Source organism: Homo sapiens, chromosome 17, assembly GCF_000001405.40.
Source record: "Homo sapiens chromosome 17, GRCh38.p14 Primary Assembly".
NCBI lineage: Eukaryota > Metazoa > Chordata > Mammalia > Primates > Hominidae > Homo > Homo sapiens.
Genome location: NC_000017.11, coordinates 69,960,928 through 69,984,879, shown reverse-complemented (window position 1 = coordinate 69,984,879; position 23,952 = coordinate 69,960,928). Strand labels below are relative to the sequence as shown.

Sequence of the window (23,952 nt, the reverse complement as noted above, 5' to 3'; positions counted from 1 at the left end):
ACAGTTAAATTTTTTTCCATTCAAACTGGCTATAGTTTGAATGCATCCCCCAAAGTTTTTGTATTGGAAACTTAATCCCCAGTGCAACAGCGTTAAGTGGAACCTTTAAAAGGTGATTAGGTCATGAGGGCTCTGAATGGATTAATGATGTATTGCGGAAGTGACTTAATTATCTCAGGAGTGGACTCTGGATAAAAAGGATGAGTTTGGCTCCCTCATATCAACCTTCCCCCATCCCTCTTTCTCTTTCTATCTTGTACTCTTGCCCTTTTGCCTTCTGCCATGGGATGATACAGCAAGAAGGCCCTCACCAGATGTGGGCCCCTGCACCTTGAACTTCTGAGCCTCCAAAACTGTAAGAAATAAACAATTTTCTTAATAAATTATCCATTCTGTGGCATTCCGTTATAGCAACACAAAATTAACTAACACAAATTTCAGTGTCTTTATTTCCACTGTGTGCCTTATTGCACCAGTGAGAACTTCCAGCACTATATGGAATGAGAGTGATGATAGCAAACATCTTTGCCTGGTCCTGATCTTAGGGGGAACTAATTCAGATTCTCACCATTAAGTGTAATGCTAGCTTTTGTGTTTTCTGTAAATGATCTTTATCAATTTGAGGATATTTCCTTCTATTTTTTATTTTTAGAGAGGTTCTTTAAAATTATAAATAGGTGTTAAATTTTGTCATAGATTTGATCTTCATCAACTGATATGATCATGTGATTAGCCTGTTAATATGGTAGATTATATTGACTTTTTTTCAAACATTTAAAAGCATTGCATACCTGGAATAGATCCCACTTGGCTATGTTGCATAATTCTTTTTTACATATTTCTGGATTCAAGTTGCTAATATTTTGTTTAGAAATGTTATGTCTAAGTTCATGTGAGATATTGATCTATAGCTTTTTCTCTCGTACTGTCTTTGGTTAAAATATCAAGGTAATTTTGGCCTCATATAATGACTTGGAAAGATGCCGTGAAAAATTTCTATTTTTTGGAAGATGCTACATAGAATCAGTGTAAGCCTTCTTTAAATGCTTGGGAGAACTCTAAATATTGGAGTGACTTGGATCTTGGTCATAAAACCTTGATTCTTTTCTGTCTACATTCTGTCCTTAGGAAATTTAATTTTAGTCTATTTTAAAATATGTTTCACCTGCCAGTAAATCCAAAATTTATATCCCCAGCTCCATTCCATTGCACTTAGAATAAATCAAACTTTCCCAACCATAGAGTATCAAATTCCTCACTGGCCTCATTTTTAACCAGTTCTTAAGCTAGGTCCCTGTTTGTCTGCTAGGGTTGCATAACGAACGACCACAGGCTGAGTGGCTGAAACATCAGAAATTTATTTTCTCACAGTTCTGAGAAAGGCTAGAAGTCCAAGATCAGGGTGCCAGCAGGGCTGGTTTTTGGTTCCAGTGAGATCTTCCTTCCTGCTTTGCATATGGTCTCCTTCTCACTGTGTCCTCACATGGTCTTTTCCCTGTGCATGGAAAGACAGACAGAGAGAGAGAGAGAGAGAGATCTGGTGTCTCTTCTTATAAGAACACCCATCATATCAGATTAGTGCCCTGCTCTTAGTCTTCATTTAATCTTAATTACCTCCTTAAAGGCCATATCTCTAATGCAGTAACAGTGCGGATGAGGGCTTCAACATACACATTTTTAAGAAACACGGTTCAGTCCCTAGCAGGACCTAATCTTACTTCCTAGAGTACGCACTTTGATTTTCTTCTCTAAATCAAGGACACCCAGCCCATTCCTATCTTAGGAATAGGATTTTGTGATTACAATTCCTGAAGTAGTCTTTCCCTGAATCGACATGTTTAGATCATTTTTATTTATTATATCTCAGCTCAGATGGAATCTCTCTAGTGAGTGTCACGCCCTGACAGCCCAAGCCAAAGTTTTCTCTACATCTTGGTCATTGTTTTCTATCCCATTGCCTTGTTTAATTTTCCTTATATAACTTACTGCCATCTAAATTATCTTTTTCTCTTTATTGGTTTACATTCTTTGTGCCTCTGTCTGCTACACTAAAATATAAGCTTCTTGAGGACAAGAACTGTTTCTTTGGTTCACCTCTATATTCTGCGTCCCTTGTCCTGTTTCTGGTACATGGTAAAGGATAAAAAATATTTGATAAAGTTTGAATGAGTGGGTTTGGTTTAGTCAATGCAGGCAGATTGCATGAGACCTATTCAATATATGGGTTTCACTGTGCTTCATGGTCTTATGAAGTCCTGAGAAATGAGCCATGAATAAGAACCTCTGGCTTATATTTGTATTTTCAAAAAGATTAGTGAAAATAACTTTATAATTTGTTGATTATAGAAAATATATTTAAGGACTTTAAATTCCTATTTCCTAGGGTTCAGGGGGAAAAAAATCATAGCAATACTAACCATCTTAATTTCCTCTAGTTTCCCAAATCAGAAGTGAGGACAAATAGCACAACTTCATTCTTTGGATTTTTCTTTTCTAATTTATCATCCAGAAAGTGCAAAGGACAATGGGTATTCATCTCCATATATACAATCTAAACAGTGCATGTGAAAGGAGAAGAGAAGAAAAATATATACATATACCACATTATTTGCAAAAAGGAATCATATTCCTTACCCACAGAGTGTCCTCCGTTGTGAATTTTATGATTAATCATCCATGCACCTGAACGTAATTGGCCTTGTTAGTACTTTACTTATATTTGGCTTCCCTTTACCTGCAAGATAGTTGTTAATGGATGAAATTTGTTCTAAGTGAGGTGATAGGGCTTCAATCTTTGAATAAAATCGGGATTCATAGGAAATTTACATTTGCATCTTTCAGAGTTATGAAATATTCAGGGGCTTGTGAAGAGTACAGAATTCCATTTAGATTGAAGTCAAAAAATAGTTTATTTTTCTTATGCTCCGTAAGAGATTTAAACCTTTAAGAGATTATCTGCATGAGAAGCTTTGCTAAAAAATTCAATGCTTTCTTGAAAACACATGATCAGAAATGCTGAGGAAAGATACAAAAACTTTGCTGGGTGGTCATTTTCAGGTTATTAAACTCTTAAATCATGTATTTTTAAATGATTTATATTTGTGGAAATTTCAGTAATAAAATAAAATTCAGAAACATCTGCTTCAACAAGCACATTCTCCTGAATTCAGAAAACTGAAATAATTCGTGAGCCAAAGTCTATGTTCACATATTTTCTATTTCAAATGTAAATTAAATATAACACTTGGGAGATTATGAAGAATGTAATTTGGCCCAGAGAAAGTGACTGCCTCAATTGAACGTTCTTTCTTAGACTGAAGCTGCGTCCGTGTTCCTCGGTAGGCAGCAGAAACAACATAGGTCACTGTGTGATTTCCCAAAACCAGGAGATCTTTTGCATGGCATGCTCCCCCAAAGTGAATAATGGTTGGCTTCCAGAGCTAGATTTTTTGAGGACATTTTTTTTGTAGCACATCATAAAAATGCAACCCAATCTTATTACTTACCTTAAGTACATTTCTTGTCAGATTCATGGCTTTGTTTCCGCATATTGCTTCCCCAACTACTTCTCCGGGTGAGGGGTGAGCCCTCTCCTCATGATCAATATATCTATATCATGGAAGGAAGAAAAAGGTGCTGGAAGAAGAAGAAGATGGAAAACCCATCCTGATGAGACAGTTGTTGGCTAGCTCTTGAGGACAGCTGTACATAAGACTGTATTATCAGCAAATATATTTTAAAATAGTGACATGATCACACATGAAGCTGGCCCAGCAAAACACTGTTCCTGAACTAAGATCCAAGATCCCCTGAGTGATGTAGTAAAGGCAAGAAATTGTTTCTATCAATAATGAACAGACAGCCAACACATTAAAATTGGTTTTCAAAATATAACAGACATACACGGTACGTTGTAAGAGTTAGAAAAAAAAATTACGTTTAAGCCAATCTTCACTTTCTTTTAGTAGACTAATCAAAGAGCTTAGAGAATTGCATATGAATGACAAAAACTATCTATAAGAGAATATAAATATATATATCCATATATCCTAGATAACTAACATATTAAGCCTTAGAAGTAGTAAAGTATTATTGTTTTGCAAGATTTACAGTAACGATTCTGATCCAAGGGCTATATCCCCCCCAGGGGCCATTTGACAATGTCTGGAGACATTTTTGGTTGTCACGATTGAGGTGGGGCTTGGAGAAGCTACTGGCATCCAGTCAATAGAGGCCAAGGATGCCACTAAACATTCTGCAATGCACAGAACACTCCCTCACCCACATAAAGAATATTCTGGCTCAGAATGGCAATAAAGTCAAGACTGAAAAAATCTGATTTAGATGTATTACTTGGGCAGACATACAAATGAACTTTTAAGAAGTCTTAAGTCTATGGCTGAGTTTATTTAGAGGGAAATATCAGATACCTGCAGCTAAATAAAGAACATTCTTTCCACCTTAGTTCTCCAAAAAATCAGTCAATATATTCATGTTCCCACGGCCACATACTAAAAGATATATTTGTTTATTTAATTTCCTAGATGAGGGAGAATAAGAAAATTTCAAGTTATCTCAATTTCCAGAGGACCTCAGCAACTAGGACATTATACCTCTCATCTGAGGGAAAAAAAGGGCAAACGTTTCAGAATTTTTCATTTTTTTTTTTTTTTTTTTTTTTTTGGCAAAAACGGAAAGGCTACAAATGCATTCACTTTCGAACTGAGATGTAAGGGCATTTTATGAGTCTTTTGAATGCCTCTCCAAGTTTTTCAGGAGTTTCTACATTGAAAGGCTATAAACTTAGTTGCAATAAAATAGACATTATTTTTAATTGTTTCCTCTCAGCCTTATCATATATATGTACCAAAAAAAAAAGACTGGCATGGAAAATCATTATTTACAGTTCTGAACAGCTTTCATACTGTCATCATTCTGTAACGTAAGGTGTTTCTGCATTGAAAGAAAATATACTGGGGCAGCAGTGTGAGGGAAGAAAAGCTAAAAACTACCAGGTGTTCTTGAAACCTTGTACAGATACTTATACAAATAATGTATATCTTTTGTAACTTCACTGATTCCAGGTATCATTATCCATGTGGAAGACTAGGCTGGAAGAGCTTGTCTCCAACTTTGAAGGTCAGTGTTAACCTCACCACATCCAGGCTCTCTGAACAATTGAGGCTGCCTAAAGAATAGTTCCAGGAACCAATTTGATTCGCTTTTCCAATATTAAAATTTGGATTTTTTTAACTGAACATGCCAATTCCTAAAAAAAACAATAGCATAAAAAAGAAAACCAGGGCTTCTTGAACTAAATATCTGGAGATGCTGAACCTGCCCATCAATGAGTTGGGCCAAATATCTCTGAGCTTGAAGTTTTGTAAATAGATAATTATTTTAGCTGGGGATGATTCTTTTTGTCTATGTGTTCCCCTTGTTCCATCTAAACTTTTGGCAATCTAAATGTATATTTTGCAGGTTAGTTCACTTGATAATAATGATTGCACTATACTTCTTATTTGATTGATAGGCTCAGGACTTAAAAAACTGTATGAATGTTCCATTTTCAGCCGCTATAGTCACAGTATATATTATCCGGGTAAAATTCAACTGTAAATACAATCTTAGAAGTTTTCCTGTTGTAAAAGATTGGGAATTTCAGGAATGCATGATCTGAAACTATGAGCCATGGTATTATGTCTTGTTTGCTTTCATGTATAAACTAAAACAAAGCAAAACAAAAACTGCAAGAAGAAAATAATATTATATAAATAAATTTAGTAAACCAAGTAAACAAGTGATTTTCTATTTTCTGGCATTGTCACTTCTCTCTTTATCTTGTTTATTACTAAAAATGATATTGTGTTCCCAAAGAATTTCAGAATAAAGAACAAGGTGAGTGACTTAAAGTACAGATAATACTGTATCTTACAATATGTGAAAATTGTTTTATAATGATTGGTTTCTTTTCGTTCAGACTTCAAACCAGGGCACCAAACAAGACCTTCAAGGTTCAGAACAAAGTCAGTGTTGACTGACTTTGAAAGACATATAAAATTTGAAGGACAATAAAATTGAAAGACAATAAAATTTTTTCATCACTGAAATATGAAGAAACATAAAACTGAACATTCATGTTAGAAATGTTTAATCACAAAAAGATCATATTCACAGTTTTTCCATTAATTTGTTTCTGTGGAATCTTTGCTGTATAATTTGTATCTTGGTTACTGATTTTCATTTGACTGAAAAATAATTAGAATACATCTTTAAAACCACCCATTGAGGTTCTTTCACATGAGAGGCAAATAATTTAATAATGACTTTCTAGCATAAGCTGCATTCCAAGATGTTTACTTGACCTGTTACCCCCCATGGGACCTGTATAATCTCCCTCAAAAAGTATGTCTTTGGTCTCAAGACACAGTCACAGGAGCACCAGGTGAATGTGTGGGAATGGTTCATGCTAACACACTTTCAGTCCTGGGAATGTGATCAAAATCACACACCATTAGCTGCTTGGGAGTTGCTGTCATCTGTCTGTAAGCATCACAGCAGATTCAATCTGATATTGAAACTCATGAGGCTGATAAAGCCCTTTTCTGCAGCAACATGCTAACTAGAAGAAAACAGATCAGGACTTGCGTGTAGCAACTTGAAAAGAGAAATAAAACATGTTGGGACACACTTGATTGTTCCAAAGGCTTTGAACAGAAGAATTCACCCACATATTGGGTTGTAGCAGGATTAATTAGTGAAGCTGCTGTAACAAAGCATACTTAGAAAAAAATGATGTATGACAATCTCCCTCTCCTTTTCCTGTTATATATTCATAAAAACAGAGGAAAGAGCGCAGGTGCCCCACGGTTCTAAGTGTCTTTGTTCACTTTATGTTAAAAATGAATCAGGAGGGAAGGCATCCTTCATTTTCAGTTAGTTATAGTTCATTTTTATTTTCATTTTTCATAATGGGCTTTTATTAATCATCTTCTATATTTTGAATAATTTATCTCACTAAATTCATCACATAAAGGAGGAAGCCATGGATCTGACAGCTTAGGGTGACAGGCTAAGCCTTGGGTTAGAATTGCATGAGTATTTCTCTTTCCACTATTCCACAGCTACTTTCAAACAGGTTAAAATTTACCTTTCTAAGACCTTTGTCTTCTTCACAGAGGATAAAATTTTTCTGTGTCATTGTGGAGCTTATTTGTGCATGGAGAAAACTATAACCTTCTGGTGAATTACATTAAGAAATTAGATATAAATCTAACTCATACAAACACCAACAGCAAGTGGAAGGCAACTAACCTTGGTGAGAGCCCTGCTAGATATTTCACTTCCCAACATCCCTTTAATTTCTGTCCTTGTTTCAGAAGTGAAAAAACCAGATGTTTGGGGCAATTCAGAAGTCTGTGGAAGTTGAAGGTGTTAATCAATGGCACTCAGGTCTGCTTATTCCAAAGTCTCTTCTTTTCTTTCTACACCACAAATTCTCCTATGTAAAACTAAAAGAGGGCAACACTAATTCCTGGATGCCTTGTTCTGGCAGAGGCACTAAATCACATCATAGAGCATCCAATTACTTGGCGATCTCCTTGGACTTTAGAAGCCTGCTCTTCCTTTGTCCAATCCACAGCATTGTCCACACCATTGAAATCTTACAAATGTTTTTCCATGGGTGGATTTTGAGAATTTCAACATGTAAATTTTATCTAATTGTTGATAGGACTATAGTATGTGTTTACAAAAAAAAATTATTTAAAAAAATGGAATTCCTTTGGGTTTATTCATTATATTCCTATAGATTGTTTTTTTTCCTGCAGAAACCCAGTAATAGAACCTAGTCTTTCTCTGGGAAGTCCCCATCATACATTTGGTACTTGTTCTTTAAAAAGGAACAACCATTAAGGGTAATAAGAATGGGACTAAATGTCCGCTATGAAAAGATTCTGGAGACCGTGTCAGTGCTTTCTTAAAACATTCCCTTAACATTCCTCAGAAACTATTATTTTTTAAGGCAATAACATGCCATTTGAAGCAAAATTGTAGTAAAAAGCTTTTAATTTGTTATCTTCTTAAAGTGCAAGAAAGGTAAAGACAATTGTTAAAAACAGAGTCAAGCCTACCGATGCATAAAGCTATGGTTTGAAATTCTGATAAAAACAATTTTTGTCATGCTGGATCAGCTAACTTTAATCTCATAAGTGTTCTTGATCTAAGTCTAAATAAAAATAAAATGCTTCAGAAAAAGAAAACACCCAGCATTAATAGTTCTTCTGAAACATTTTTAATTTTTTCCATCAGGTTACTTCCAAGAGAAACTATTCAGGATTTCCAAGTAACGAAGAATCAAGCTAGGTAAGTCCTACTCACGGAATTTCAGGAAAACTACCAGAGGGAATAAAAAGTGCTCTTAAATTTCAAAGGCACAAGTTTTTCCCCACCAACTCTAGCACATTGCATGACCTTATAACCAAGGTCATGCAAATAGATGGTCCACCAGAACAGATTATCACAGTGGCTATGCAATGTTTCTAGCTTTTTATGACAATCTTGGCCAAAGCAGGCTAGATGGCAATAAGAAAGACTAGAATTGTTGCATGGCTAATTTTCAATCATATCCAGACTCTTACTTTAACAAGCACAAATATCCACACAGTAAATTATCCATTTCACATTTATATTCTTCAGATAATTAAAGGCATTATTTTTATAAAGAGAAAAAAAGTTCCTCTTTGATCCTCTATTATAAGCTCAAATGTTGGGAATAAGCAAGAAATTGGAAATGCCTATTCCAATAAGTGATGAAATTCTTTATCTAAAACTGCCTTTGTATCCTCTTCCACCCATGCATGCAATTGACGTCATCATTGTCACAACTTAGCTGGATTATCAAATTTATTGCACATATATTCTATTTTATATGTAACTGCAAATGACAATGTTTCTAAATTTGCTACCACTGCATGACAAGAACACCACTTCTTTCAAATTGAAATAACTTTTGACTCACATACCTGCAAGCATATCTGTCTATCTATCTATCATCTATCTACCTACCTTCCTATATATCTATCTCTGTAGAAGTCATTTAAAATTTGTATCAACCCTATGGGAAAACACTATTATTTTCTGTATTAGTGAATGAAAAAATTGAGTCACGAAAGGTAAAGTAATTTGCTAAAGGTACTACAACTAATAAATGGTGAAGCTTGGAATCAAAATTCTGTGATCTGACTCCAAAAGTCGAAGTCTTTAACCACTTGTAATTTTGACTCTCATTATGATATGTAGGTACTCTATTACAGCAATTAATGTATAAAGTAATTTTTAACTTCTGCACAGTGGTGCATCCCTTTATGATGAGGATACATTCTGAGAAATGTATCATTAGGCGATGATGTTATCTAAACATCATAGTGTGTACTCGCAAAAAACCCAGATTGCATAGCCTACCATACCCCTAGACTATATGGTTTAGCCTACTGCTTCTAGGCTATAAACCTGTATAGCATGTTACTGTTCTTAAAACTGTAGGTAATTGTAACACAGTGGTAAGTATTTGTGTATCTAAACATAGAAAAAGTACAGTAAAAATACACTATTGTAATCTTATGGGGTCACTGTTGTATATGCAGTTTATTGTTGATGAAACAAAATTATGATACATAACTGTGTATGTTTATTTCCCTAATAGTTTGTAATGTCCTCAAAGAAAGAAACATTTTCATTTCTACATGACCAGCAGCTATCATAGGGGCTGGCACACAGGTAAAAGAGATTTTTTTAAATAACTATATAAATAGTCAACTAAACTAGTCACATTAAAGTCATTTTTGTTTCTCTGATAGCTCTGGATTTTCAAGGTTGAAAAAAATACTATTTGTCAAAGCCAGCCTACCATATTGTTCTCCCAATGATCCTTATCTCCTAATATTGTATAGTCCTTCCATATACTGTATCACAGTTTGTGTGACCAACAGAATATGGCAGAATTGATAGTTGGTACTTCTGACACTAAGTTATAAAAGGCTGAAGCTTCCCTCTTGGACATCTCTCTCAGATTTCTCATCCTGGGAGAAACCAGCTGCCAGGTCTTGAGGAACACTCAAGCAGCACTGTGGGGAGACCCATGTGGTGAGGAACTGGAGCCTCTGGATAACACTCAGCAGAAACTGAGGCCTTCCAACAACCCCATGAGTGATACTGAAAGCAGATCTCCCAGCCCCAGTCAAGCCTTCGGATGACTGCGGCCCAGTAACAGCTTGAATGCAACCTCACAAGAGACGTTGAGCTAGAAGCAGCTAGCCAATCCACTCTTGGATTCCTGACCCTCAGAAACTGATAATAATAAATGTTTGCTGTTTTAAGCTGCTAAGTTTTGTAGTAATTTGTTACAGAGCAACATGTAACTATCATATGTTAATATTAACAGTGAGATGGTGGCAAAATACCAACCCACAATGTGGAAGTGGCTTTAGAACTGAGCAATGGGCTTTGACGAAAGGGTTAGTGACAGTCTGTAGTGCCTCGAACACACCGTCAATAGAAGCCTTGTGGTTTTTCCTAAAGCTACAGGTGAGGGCTCACAGGTAAATGAAGCAAATGTTGGAAACTAGAGAAAGAGGGAATTCATTATGTTGTAGTAAAAAAATTAGTAATGCTTTTGCCTGAAGTTATGTGGGAAGTAGAAAAAGTACTCAATGAACTGAGTGATCAATAAAGATATATAGATATCAATAAAAATAGATATTTCAGCAAGTGATAGTTATATTAATTATTGTTGTAACATAGTAAAAGAAATCTTTAACAGGAAGACAAAAGGGCCACTTCTGTGGTAGATTTTGATACTCTTCAAAATATTTACTGCCTCACATTGAGATGTCCTTCTCTCTTGAGGAAGAGTTTTACACCTTCATCCTGTTGAACTCTGACATGTATATGTGACTTGCCTCAGCCAGTGAAATATGAGTGTGGTAGTGGCAAACACAAGTTTTAAGAGCTAGAACGTGCTTCACTATGTTTATTTTCCCTAAGGTGAAATAAATAGATAAGATTTACTCCATTAGTCTGGGTCCTGGAATGAAGAGTTCTAAAACCAGTCAGCAATGGGGATGTAATGTAAGCAAGAAATACATGTTTGTGGTTATAAGCCACTGTCATTTGCTTCCTAACCTAGTGTCTCCTGACTGGTTCAATTTCAGACAAGAGGTAGAATTGGAGGATCAGGAGTACTTTGACTCATGGACCATTGGAAGAAGACACTACAGATAGATAATATTGCAGAGACAGGGGCATCAAGGTGTATGAAATCATGAGAGGATCATGGATGTCTAAAATGTAATGCAGAAATTAGAGCAGAAGCTCTAACCCAGCTGCCATAAATTAGAAATCAATGCTTATATTTGTATGATATGATACTCAGATCTTATTGTTTTCTGGCAAAACTTGATTGATATACCACTTGATATGGTTTGGCTGTGTCTCCACCCAAAATCTCATCTTGAATTGTAATCCCCATAATTCCCACGTGTCAAGGGAAAGCCCAGGTGGAGGTAATTGAATCATGGGGTTAGTTTCCCCCATGCTGTTCTCATGATGGTGAGTGAGTCCTCACAAGATCTGATGGTTTTATAAGGGGCTCTTCCCCCTTTGCTCAGCACTTCTCCTTCCTTCCACTTTGTAAAGAAGGTGCTTTGCTTCCTCTTCACCTTCCGCCATGATTGTAAGTTTTCTGAGGCCTTCCAGCCATGCTATGAGTCAATTAAACCTCTTTTCCTATGTAAATTACCTAGTCTCAGGCAGTTCTTTATAGCAGTATGAAAACAAACTAATATACCACTGAACTCTAATTCCTAAAAATCTGAAATGTTAATAACCTAATACCCCCAACTCTATGTTCATTTTAAAATAGTTGACCACAAGGTTCCAGACAAAATTCACAGTCTTTTTAGTAATAAAGAATTAACAGAAGAAAATTCTCAAATATTATATTTAATAGGTTTTTATTTGGGGGGTTATTTTTTAGTCATTTTTCCATGTATAAGTTAGTTTGACTGGGTCACCTATTCCACCTTAAGAAAATTTGCCCACCTATTATGATAAGGAGTCACTGAATTATAAGGAATAGAATAATATGCCCCAATTTTACAATACAGAGTTAACGACAGTATTTTAGAAGATGAAGGTTAAGTCCATGAAAGCACAGGGAAGGAGATCATTGGAATAGTTTAAGGGAGATATGTGGCATTCGTAACCCAAGAAACTAGAGAAGTAGGAAGAGACATTAAAGAGAAAAGAAGCAGGAGAATTTAGTCATTGGGTGGAAATGTTTATGACAACATTGTAGGAACATGAAGTACAATATGTATCACTTGTGGGAGATTAAATTGTTATTCAGGAATGGTCATTCCATTCTTTCTCATCTCTCAGAGAGGAATAGGCATTAGCAATACTTGGGCATGTAACTTACAATAATGGGATGGGAATGGCCTACATTCCAGGCCTAGGCCTTAAGTGGCATTTTTTTTTCTCTCATCACCTTTGGGACCTTTCATCCCACATCATGAGAACATTCCCCATCCAGCCTACTACTCTCAAAAGCTGAGAACACTTGGAGCAAAACTGATCCAAATACGTGGCTGGAACCAAAGACCAGCTGATCTCAGCCAAGATGTACCCTTCCCACCCAGCTGCCGTAACTCAGAAATCAATGCTTATAGTTGTATGACACTCAGATCTTAATGTTTTCTAGCAACATTTGATGGATAAACTACTGAACTCAAATTTTTAAAAATCAGAAATATCAATGACCTACTACCCCCAATTCTATGTTCATTTTAAAATAGTTGACCACAAGGTTCCAGACAAAATTCACCGTCTTTTAAGTAATAAAGAGTTAATGGAAGAAAATTCTCCAATATTACGTTTAAAATGTTTTTATTTTGGGGTTTATTTTTAGTAGTTTATCCACGTGTAACTATGAAGAAAGACACGTAATTGCACTTGTTCAGATTTCACCTCAAATCTGAGAATATGGATTTTAAAAATTATTTTAAGTTATCACGAGAAGCAACAGCATAAAGCCATATGAGAAGTACATATGTGAATAATAGTTTTACTTAGTCTTTAAGAAACAAGCTTAGGTGAATCAATTATATATTTCTGGGATATGGTCAAGGTTCTTGTCCAAAACCCACTAAAGGAAGCACTTTTAAATTTTCAACCTTTACATCATTTTTCAAAGTTCTCTTTGGCTCTCTTATTGGTTTGAAATAAGGCACATAATGTTTTCATCTTTATTAGTCCAAATAAGAGCAAATAAAAGAGTGATAATATATAGGGAGATAGTTTATTTGCAAACTTTCAAAAGTGGTTTACTTTAATACCCAATTCATTTGCAGATTATAGTCTAGATAATAAGTGCATATCAAAAACTGTAATAAAAATTATCGAATGGTTTGCAAGATATACTCTCTTGTTTGAATTAAGCCTACTTCAGGGGGTTGTGATTTTTCCCTTTTTATCTAAATGCTCATAAACTGGATAATAGCCCTGGTTTGTTTCTGAAATATTTTATTTGGGTTTTGTAACTTGACAGAAATGGACTACAAAGAAAGCAAAGTGAACTGCTGTAACGTATGTTTAAAATCTATGCCAATGATACCCAGGTGATACAAAGGTTACTAGAACATGCCAATTGGTTGGAATGAGCATTGAATTGATTGGTTAACACAGTATCTTGGGAAAACAATTTTGTCTGTGATATATGAGGAAGCCTCAATTTGGTGCAACCTCCTGTTTAGATGTCCTACATGTTTGTGGGTTGGTGTCACCAATATATTGTCCCCCTACTGTTTAGCTTTTTTAGTTTGTTTTTAATTATGGAAGTAACAAAACAGCATTATGGGAAGATTACAAATAATGTAAAAGAATTTTAAATCATTTTAACATCACTCCTATTTTCATTTTTGTGTGTCCTTTTCAGTCTTTCAATAGAGCTTTTTAATTAATTACTAAGTGCCAGGCAATGCTTTAGCGCATGTAAGTCTCATGAAAACAACAGAAAGTATTATCTTCTTTTTAGAGAGATAAGTTGGAGACTTTAAATAATGTCCTTAAGGTTACCGAGCTACCAAGTTCCAGGGCTGTGATAGACAACTAGCTGTTTTATTTCCTGACCCAAACCTCTTAAATATGTACCTTACATAGTTATAAACATAGTGTAAATACAATTTTATGTCTCATTTTTCCAACTCAATGTTGTATTATATTTTCCTGCACAATAACATAGCTCATTATTTTAGAAGGCAGGTTTTCTTTAATTTAGATATGCCCTTTCTTAACTATTCTCCTATTATGAGATATTGGATTACTTTCAAATTCTCATTTTCAAATTTTATAGTTTTCAAATTAACACTATAATTACTATCTTAACGCACCAAGCTTTTACATAATTTAGTTGTTTCTGTTTTCTTCCCCTAGAGGCTAAAAGTTTGGAAATTCTGAAGATTTTTTAAAATGTGTAACATCTAAATGGGACTTTTCCATTGTCTCAGTTTGGGCTACGATTTCAAAGCTCAAAAGTGTATGCAATAATTACTGTACCTTCTGAAGAGAGATGCCCGATCTTTTAAATGTGAGCTGCAAAAGGGCTTTCCCAAAACAGATTCAGCTGCTCTTAGTCCATCACCTGCCTTCCCTTATACAACAAAAGGTAAGCATTCATTAGGGGAATTGATCAATTATTTTTTTGGAACAGTTGTCAGCATTACTCAGCATTTCTCTTTCCTTCCTTCATACTTTCTTAACTAACCTCAGGCCAAGTGAGGGAATTTAGATCTTGATATGTGAGGGATTTGGAAAACAAAGAGGCCAGCTCTTGCCTGCAAAATTTAAAGACAGGAGATTGGCTGGAAATAGTCTTGATGGCTGAACACGGAGAAAAAGTGGAGCCAGTGTGGACCCTACAGAGGGTAGCGAGGCATAAATTACCTAGAAAGGATCCCAACATGTGGCTTACCTGCGAGGGCTAACAGACAACAGCACTAAGAGGCTATAGAAAGATTACCCAAGAAGCAGAGGTTCAGGTGGATGGCATTCATAGCCAGCTAGTTGGGGCACTGCCCAAGACAGTGAATAATATAGCAGATTGTTTTCACTGGCTTTTTTGAAGAACCTACAAAATATCTTCAGTAGGAAGACAGCATTTAGGTATCTGTCTGGCTCCAGATTACAACTGTGTTGATTGATAAATAACTTTTCCACCCTGGTTTCTCTTATCTACCCAACATCACCAAGACGGGGTCAAGAAATAACATCTTGAGTAAGGGAAGATGAAAGAATAAAGTGGGAAAATAATGAAGTATCTACTTTCCTTACTGTAATTTTCCAAGTCCCACATCAGGGGTCCAGGGGAGAAGCTTAAAAGAGGATGAGACAATAAAAGATTTTGTGGTTTGGTTTTGTTTTGTTTCTTAATTTTGACTAGGCTTTTGTACATCAGCTCTACTGGTAATCAGCTCTACTGATTAATTTATCAGAAGTTTTTGTCGGGGGGCAAGGATGGAAAATTCAACACAGAATTTAACAGGCTGTTGCAGAAGAAAAATACAATCATTTCACAATTTCATCCACTAAATTCAGCTTATTCAATCAACAAATACACACGTTTTCAAGTTGCATCCTAAAACAGTTTTACCAATTTATAACATCATCATCAGTGAAGGATAATCAGGCCGATGATACTCTTGCTAGCTTTAAACATTCTCTTTCTGTGTTTACCATAATTTAATATGTGAAATAACATCTTAACTTATGATACTTTCTTATTATTAGCATAATTAAACAGTTTCCATTAGCATATCTGCTATTTTTATTTGTTCATTTATACATTTACTATAACATCGACCAATAAATTATTGTTAATTATGCTAATTATTTTCTTATAAATTTGCATGAGGCATTAAGAGATGAACTCAATCCCCTATGTAATGTAACTATCACTGTAATATGTGGTTTGCATTTCAACAGAAAATAAGTTTTTACATTAGAAATTTTTTAATGTATTGAAATTTCAACTGTGAATTTTTTCTTTAATTTCAACTCTTAGGAAAGAAATGTCTATTTGTTTCTCTATTCTTTTGTCATGAGATTTCTAATGTTTAAATGTTTGATTTATTTTCCATCTAAAGTTTATTTGTATAAAGCTCAGAATCCGATCGGCATGAGTTGAGTATAACAAATTGGCTGGAAAAAGCCTGTTGTTTGTAGGATATTTCACTTTTCATCAATATTCATATTCTATTAATATTTTAAAGCCCAATTATTCTCACTCTCTAGCAAAGGCTGAAGTGACTTTTAACAATAGATATTCTTTCCAAAAAAGAAAAAAAATCCAAACAATTTCTCCCTTTGTAAGTATAAAACTGCCTAAGCTCAGCCTCTCTTTTTCTGCCACATCCAGCCTCTTCCTCCCACCCCCACCACCATTAGATTTTACACACCATCCATTGTCAGGGACGCAAACTCCTCTACAGTTTGTTAATGTCCAAGAAAGGCCATCACCTCTGAATCATTTTTTCCCCACACATAAATCCTTGAGCCAACAAAGAAAAGTGGTATTTTTCCATTTCCATAATTCCTGTTATTTTAAGTCTATCCCTTAACCAAAGTGGCTTTTTGTTTTTTTTTCCTTGATAACTCACAGGTTCAAATGTAAAAATTTATTATTACAAGGAACAATTATGAGGTTCAAAGCATACTGTGTGCATTCCATGCTCCTAGCTTCTGGTACTGATATACGGAATAAAATACTTGTGGTTGTCTACTTGCATGAAGTGGATGGGATCCAACCACTGGTGGTGAGAGGCTTAATGAATGTCTGCCTTCGTCAGACCCAACAGGGATCTAGCATCATGGGAGGTTGCCCAAGTGCCATACTGCAGGCATCTCAAAAACAAACTTTTGACCATTTAACTTATTCTTTCCAGTTACTCTTCAACGTCAACAATAACAACCACCAAAGAGGAAAAAATGGCTTTGCTTCTTTTCTTACTTTAAATATTGTTCTGGATTTTAAGATTTCAAGATATCTTCCCCAAAACATTGAATTAGACAAACCACTGACCTTTTTGAACACCTTTGGGTTTTGCTTCTTCAGGGCAGCATGTTCAGCACTTTTTTTTTTTTTTTTTTTTTTGAGACAAAGTCTCACTCTTGTTTCCCAGGCTGGAGTACAATGGCGCAATCTTGGCTCACTGCAACCTCCACCTCCCAGGTTCAAGCGATTCTTCTGCCTCAGCCTCTCCCAGGTAGCTGGGATTACAGGCGCCTGCCACCATGCCTGGCTAATTTTTGTATTTTTTAGTAGAGACAGGATTTCACCATGTTGGCCAGGCTGGTCTTGAACTCCTGACCTCAGGTCACCACCCGCCTGACCTCAGGTCACCGCCCGCCTCGGCTTCCCAAAGTGCTGAGATTACAGACATAAGCCACCGCGTCCAGCCATGTTCAGCATTTTGATAACTCCCTGCTCATAAAGTCTTCCTTATTTGATGAGATACTTCATTTACATAGTAAAACCAAACAAAAACAAAAACAAACCACAGCATTCTTAATAGTTACTATTTTCTTGCTGTCTCTGTTTTCTTTTGTTTTTAAATAAGACTAGACATAGTAGTTCCCTCTTCTGTGCTCCTATATAATGTTTATAACTGCATAATAGAACAAAAAAATGTGTTTTAGTTACTTGTGTGTATGTTTGCCTCTTCTGGAATACTGAGAGCTTTTTGAGGTTACAGATATATCCTGTGCTTTTTCTTTGCATAGCACATAACATAAAGTCCAATACATAATAGGTAGTCAATAATGAGCTTAAGTAAATGAATTGCCTCTGATTTGTGTATGATAGTTGGAATGCCTCAAGATTTTTAAATCGTCTGCACATTGATATCATACTATCAACAGATCTTTTGCTGTTAAATGTTCAGTAACTATCAATAATAGTTCATAATGCTCTAAGCAATACCGTCTAACAATATAGCTGAATTTGGCATACCCAGATACTTAGTTTTGTACTTTTTGGTGTGACAGAGACTGCACATATGCACTAAAATCCATTGCCATTTCCCACTGGGCACACACACACACACACACACACACACACACAAATACATTTTCTATCACACTTTGCAATTAAATATGGCCATATGACTTAATTGTGACCAACAGAATGTGGGCAGAAAAGATGTTAATCAATTTCAGGCCCATTTTATCACAATATCCCACAAGTGATCCTTGTTGTTTTTTTCCATTTGTCCCTGAAAAGGGAAGGATCCCAGAACCTATAATGCAGCCTTAGGATAGAGATCAGATTAAGGAAATAAGTATTCACAAATATTATTTCAGATAGCCTCATGGAGGCTGATAGATGAGGTTGGAACAATGAAGGTTCAGGTCATGTTGTTTCATGGCAAAACATATGGTAAAACCACTTCATACATTAAATAGAAAGGCACAACACACCTCATGAGCCTATAAGCCTGTAGTTTTTGGACGTGAGGACAAGAGATTGATATGAGAGTAACAGTGCCTATTTGCTACTATTGGCCTTTCTTAGCAATGTATTACAAGAAAGAGATGAGCACAGACAAAAACAGACTTATTTTGAAGCAGAAATTGAAATGGATATGTATCCAGAGATCAATAACTTTTAGAGTTAATAAACCTGAGTGCTTCTGCATCCTAATTAAGATAAATTGAAAAAGGCTCTGAATGACAACAATCAAATAAAATTATTGTTAAAAAACAGACAATTTAATATAAGGATTAGACTAAGGAAACAGTATTCAAAAATATTATTTCAGATAGCTTCAGGGAGGTTGGGAGTGGCTTAGAATGGTGTATATGAGGAAGCAAAAAATAAATCAGTCATGAGAATTATCACATTGAGAAAACTTCAAATGTAGTTATTGGCACATGTAATTGACTAGAAACAAGACAATTTCAATGTCTGTTAGTTTGGGGAAAATTGTTTCCCTAAGGATTCTATGAGCATGGACTGAAAGTATTGACTTCTTAAGCTTTAAGATTAGTGCTGGGTCCCCCAGCTTTTATCAGCACCAAACATAATCTCCAATCCCACTTCCTGAAGGTCATGGGAAAGATAGACAAAGAAGAATCTCTCAGAGGCTGGAATCAGTAACCATGGAGAACAGTGAAGAAAGGAGATTCTAGGGAGCATAATTTAGGAATAAACGAAAGATTTTTTCCCAGCCAAATAATAGGACCCTTAATATGTGCCTAACATGATTTCAAAATTGCTATGGTTCAGTAACAGCTGCATGCCTCTCATTTTTTCCTTTACCAAACAGGTGTCTAAAATGTTTTCCCGTATCTATGTATCTTCCCTGCATGGTATATGTATGCATGTGTGTGTTTGTTTGCATGTGTGTGTGTGTGTGTGTGTGTGTGTATAAATATATATCATTTGTAGGCTCAAAGAAGCCACTTCAATTCTGGTCTAGAGAGATGAGCATCACTCAAGGATGCTGGACTTTAAGTTTTCTGCAATGACTTGTTGGGACCTTTAGTTTTCCACCTTCAGAAAGGACACCCGTGTGTTCCATGTGTGGCAGGAAAAATGGAATAGATGTTTGGTGAACAAATGGACAGAATTGGCACAGACTGACTAGCTCTTCATCAAATGTATTTTCTTCATGTCCCAAGCACATAGATAGACTATATTTCCTAACTTCCACTGTACTTAGGTATAGCCACATAACTGAGTATTGTCAATGAAAATATAGGTAGAAATAATTTTCACTGCCTCCAAGCCTGGTGCATAAAACCACACACACAAAAGCCTCTCTCTGTTTCTTCATGTATTAACCGGACAGGGAAGGCTTTCAAGCTCAGTAGGAAGGCAGATGCAGAAGATGAAAGGAGCCTAAGTCCCTGAATAGTCACTTAGAGGATTGCTCTACCAGAAACTCCCAATGTTAATAAGAGATAAACTTATTATTTAGTTAAGTCATTGATATTTGTAGCTTTTCTCTTACACTCCATGTTAAGCAGAATGATGACACACCCTCAAAGATGTCCACTTCCTTATCTTTGGAACTTGTGAATATATTAAGTTATATGGCTGAATGGGGGAAATTAAGGTTGTAATGGAATTTAGGTTGCTTGACAGCTGATATTAGAAGAGAGGGGTTATCCTGGGTTATCCACGTAGGCTCGATGTAATTACACGGCCCTTAAAAATGGAAGAAGGAGCAGCAGAGGAGATCACAGTGATGCCATATCAGGACTCAACTCACTGTTGCTGGCTCCGAAGATGGAAGATTGGGGATAAAAGCCAAGGAATGCAGGTAGCCTCTAGGATCTGGAAAAGACAAGGAAATGGATTCTTCCTTAGAGTCTCCAGAAGGGAAGGTAGCCCAGCCAACACCTTGATTTTGGTCCAATGAAAAACACTTCAGACATCTAACCTAAGAGCAAGAAGATAATAAATTTGTATTATTTAAGCCTCTAAGTTTGTGGTAATTTGCTACAGCAGCAATAGAAAACTAATACACAGCCATTAACATTACATTTATAAGTTTAAATTAAATGGCATTGTATAAATCCCTCATGCATCTCCTCCTTTCAGCCTATCAAAACATACTCTCAGATTGTTAGTTCATACTCTGTATAAATGCCTAAATAAGATAAAATTAATACCTCCCAAAGAGATTTGAACTTCAAGGGGAAATCAAGTATTACAGTTAATGCATAAATCTCTACCAGATGGAAATTCAGTCTGGCCTAGAGACTAGGAGAATTATTATTACAGCTAAATGGCAACATATAGTTCTCTTACTTTACCTTCCAATGTTTCAGAACCATGCTTTCTCTGATTTTAGATTACCATTTGTTAAAGAGTAAGGAAGATGGCTGGGCGCAGTGGCTCACGCTTGTAATCCCAGCACTTCTGGAGGCCGAGGCGGGTGGATCACCTGAGGTTGGGAGTTTGAGACGAGCCTGACCAACATGGAGAAACCCCGTCTCTACTAAAAAAAAAAAAAAAAAAAAAAAATTAGCTAGGAGTGGTGGCACTTGCCTGTAATCCCGGCTACTCAGGAGGGTGAGGCAGGAGAATCACCTGAACCTTCAACCCAGGAGGCAGAGGTTGCAGTGAGCTGAGATGAGCCATTGCACTCCAGCCTGGGCAACAAGAGCGAGACTCCGTCCAAAAAAAACACACCAAAAAACAGAATAAGGAAGCTACTAAAACTGGGGAATTGAGCTCTAGGATATCTAAGCTACAACAGAGATGGTTTATCTGAAAACAAAAATTACTTAACCACTCTAGCTTGTTTTCCTTTCTCCAAGATGAAAGGCATTAGAGTTATACTAACTGGCCTGGTAGATCTCTGTCTGTTCTAAGCTGCTGTAAAGCAGATGAGTCTATATTTCTCTAATGGCTCCCACGCAAATTAGTTTATTAGCAAATATAAATTTTTACATGTTTGACTTTTTCCCACTCTAATTGTTCTTATGACTGATATCCAACTAAGAAGAAATGTGACAATAGTGGGTAGTGACAGAATGACCATTTAGGTATTAAAATTCTTTCTTCACTTAATTGTCAACTGGTTAGGAGAAGTGGGATAACTTTCTCTTCTGACGGAGGGAAAAAATGACCAAGGTATTGTAAAGAAAGTTTAATCAGCAGACATCAGACTTGGTTGGAATCATACACATGGTAGTAACAGTCAAGCAAAGATGGAGGAAAGATAATAGACAGCATCTGGGAAATGGTACTGAAAAAGAAGTGGGACACAAAATCTCCATTAGCAGAGAGACAACAGTAGTCTTTTTGTGTGGTTTACTGTTATAAAATTCTGAATAGGAATTCTGTTTCACAGCTGTTAAAAGAGAATTGAAATACAACTGTGTCCAATAATTGAAAAGCAGCTGTTCATTCGCCATGTCTAAAAACAATTGTATAGGAGAAATTGGCTTGGCAGTACAGCAAAAAAAAAAAAAAAAAAAGTGTAATTATTTTTAATTGCCAAAGTGGGGAAGCAATCTGACAGTGGAATAGGACATTGTATGACATCATGAAATCTGCTTTTCTGAGAGTTGAAAAATGGTTAACATTTTCTCTGCCTGATGTGCTATCCGAAGGCAGGAAGGAGTCCCAGTTCATCCCTTATAGGCCCTTAGAGAGAGCATTGTGATGCCAGTTTCCTTTTTTTGTCTATTTTTCCTCCATATATGTACACATATTGTGCACATAACTGATATGTTTTCTTAAGACTTCCCTTTACAGTAACTATTTCCCACTCTGCTGCAGACTAACAAAAACAGAAAACTAAAGGGAAATCAGTGTGAGTCCTGAAAGTTGTGTCCTGCAGTAGGGATTCTGCATAAAACACAAAGAGAGGACACAAAATACGCCACTTTTCAAGTCACATTTACAAAAGGCTTCTCTTTTATCATAATTCACTCGCCAAAAATATAATTGGACAGTCCTTTAGCATTCTGCAGTATTTCTCAGCACCAGCAAAGAGACAGTAAGGAATTTTTCACCAAGAGCCATGAGTAAAGAGAGCTTGTAGCCTTCTACAAGGATCTGGTTGCTCTGAATGGTCAAGTAATCGTGGGAAGTTTATTGTCAATGCCCGGGTAGCAACTCTTTCAACTATGTGATGATCCGCTTTTTTGCTTGCTTTCTATTAAAAAACTGTATTTGATTCTGTGCAAATTCATAAACCAAACACAAAATTCAGGGGTTAAAGAAAACAGTTCTGTAAACAGATGAGACAGACATGCTAATACATTGGAAACATGCTATTTAAATTCAGACTAGTTAAACAGGATGCCCTTTTGTCACTGACCAAATTGTTAAATTGGTGCCTTGGCAAGAGCCTTTTGTACTCTGAAGATTCCCGGGATCCAAACCTCTGTGGTATTAAAACAAACAGAGTAAATATTTTCCTTGAAGTTTACATCCAAGATCTAAATATTTCCAAGCATGTCAAACTCACTTTTCTCCACCGCTCCCTGCAGGGTCCGTGTAGACTTCGGCTGCCAAAGAACCCAGTTGAACTTGCCTTGGGAGGGGCTCCATCCCTGAAGACAAGCAAAGCTCAGAGCCAGAAGCAGGGTGTCTTGCAGCTGTGCTGCTCTGCTTGGCAGAAGGAACTCACGCAGCAGCAGGTGTGCTATCTGCTGACTTCAACACACAGAGACGGGGAAGGCTCTGTCCTTGCTGCTTGCTCCCTAAGCTTGAATATCTGCCATTCCCTTTTACCTATTTGCAGAGAAGTGCCAAGAACCTACCCCGGAAAACCTGCATTTCTCTTCATTAGCTTTAAGTGTGCAAGTCAGCTTTCTAGCTACATAACTTCTAGCTACATAACTTAAGCTAGTTGCAACTGCAAAATAAAGTGATTCCTCTGCAGAATCTAGCAGAGAATATTAACAAACTCTGTTTCTTCTCTCTCTCCCTTGTTTCATATTGTTTTCCATCCAACATGCAGCTGAAGTTCTCTTAGAAAGAGACTACAAAGAACCACAATTGAGTACCACATCAGTATTTTTTTTGGACCTTGTATCTTGGGGACTTACTCTGAAAGTGTCCCAGCATAATCGCGAAGACAATGCTCTGCTCTTTCTTTTTTTTTTTTTTTGGTAGTTACTGACAGTAAATTTTCAAACTGCCATCTCAAATTCAGTGTAATTGAACTCAACCAGAAATAATGAATATAACTGTGGGTATCAATACCTTTGCCTTTAAACTCAGTGAGGTACTTCAAAGTACCTCATCCCACCTCTAAGAAATGCACTTACATTTACCTGGAGTTACCTAATATAAATGAGCCCAGTGCTGCACTGGCCAGGCCTTCCTTCACTGAAGAACTTGTTGCTCTTCAGCTGTTGGCAGATGGCCATAAG

At 36.3% G+C, this 23,952-nt stretch overlaps 1 long non-coding RNA gene across 2 annotated transcripts; it reads right to left on the bottom strand.

Moving 5' to 3' along the window:
• Window positions 1-1,335: 1,335 nt before the first annotated feature.
• LINC01497 (long intergenic non-protein coding RNA 1497) lies at window positions 1,336-23,173 on the bottom strand. 2 transcript variants are annotated; one of them, NR_110874.1, is made up of 5 exons: window positions 23,043-23,173; window positions 20,328-20,498; window positions 3,507-3,636; window positions 2,418-2,551; window positions 1,336-1,495 (listed from the first exon to the last, which is right to left on the bottom strand). It is a non-coding gene; the product is annotated as a long intergenic non-protein coding RNA 1497 (long non-coding RNA). The 2 variants fall into 2 exon arrangements; NR_110875.1 differs by having other exon boundaries at window positions 3,507-3,609.
• Window positions 23,174-23,952: the final 779 nt, after the last annotated feature.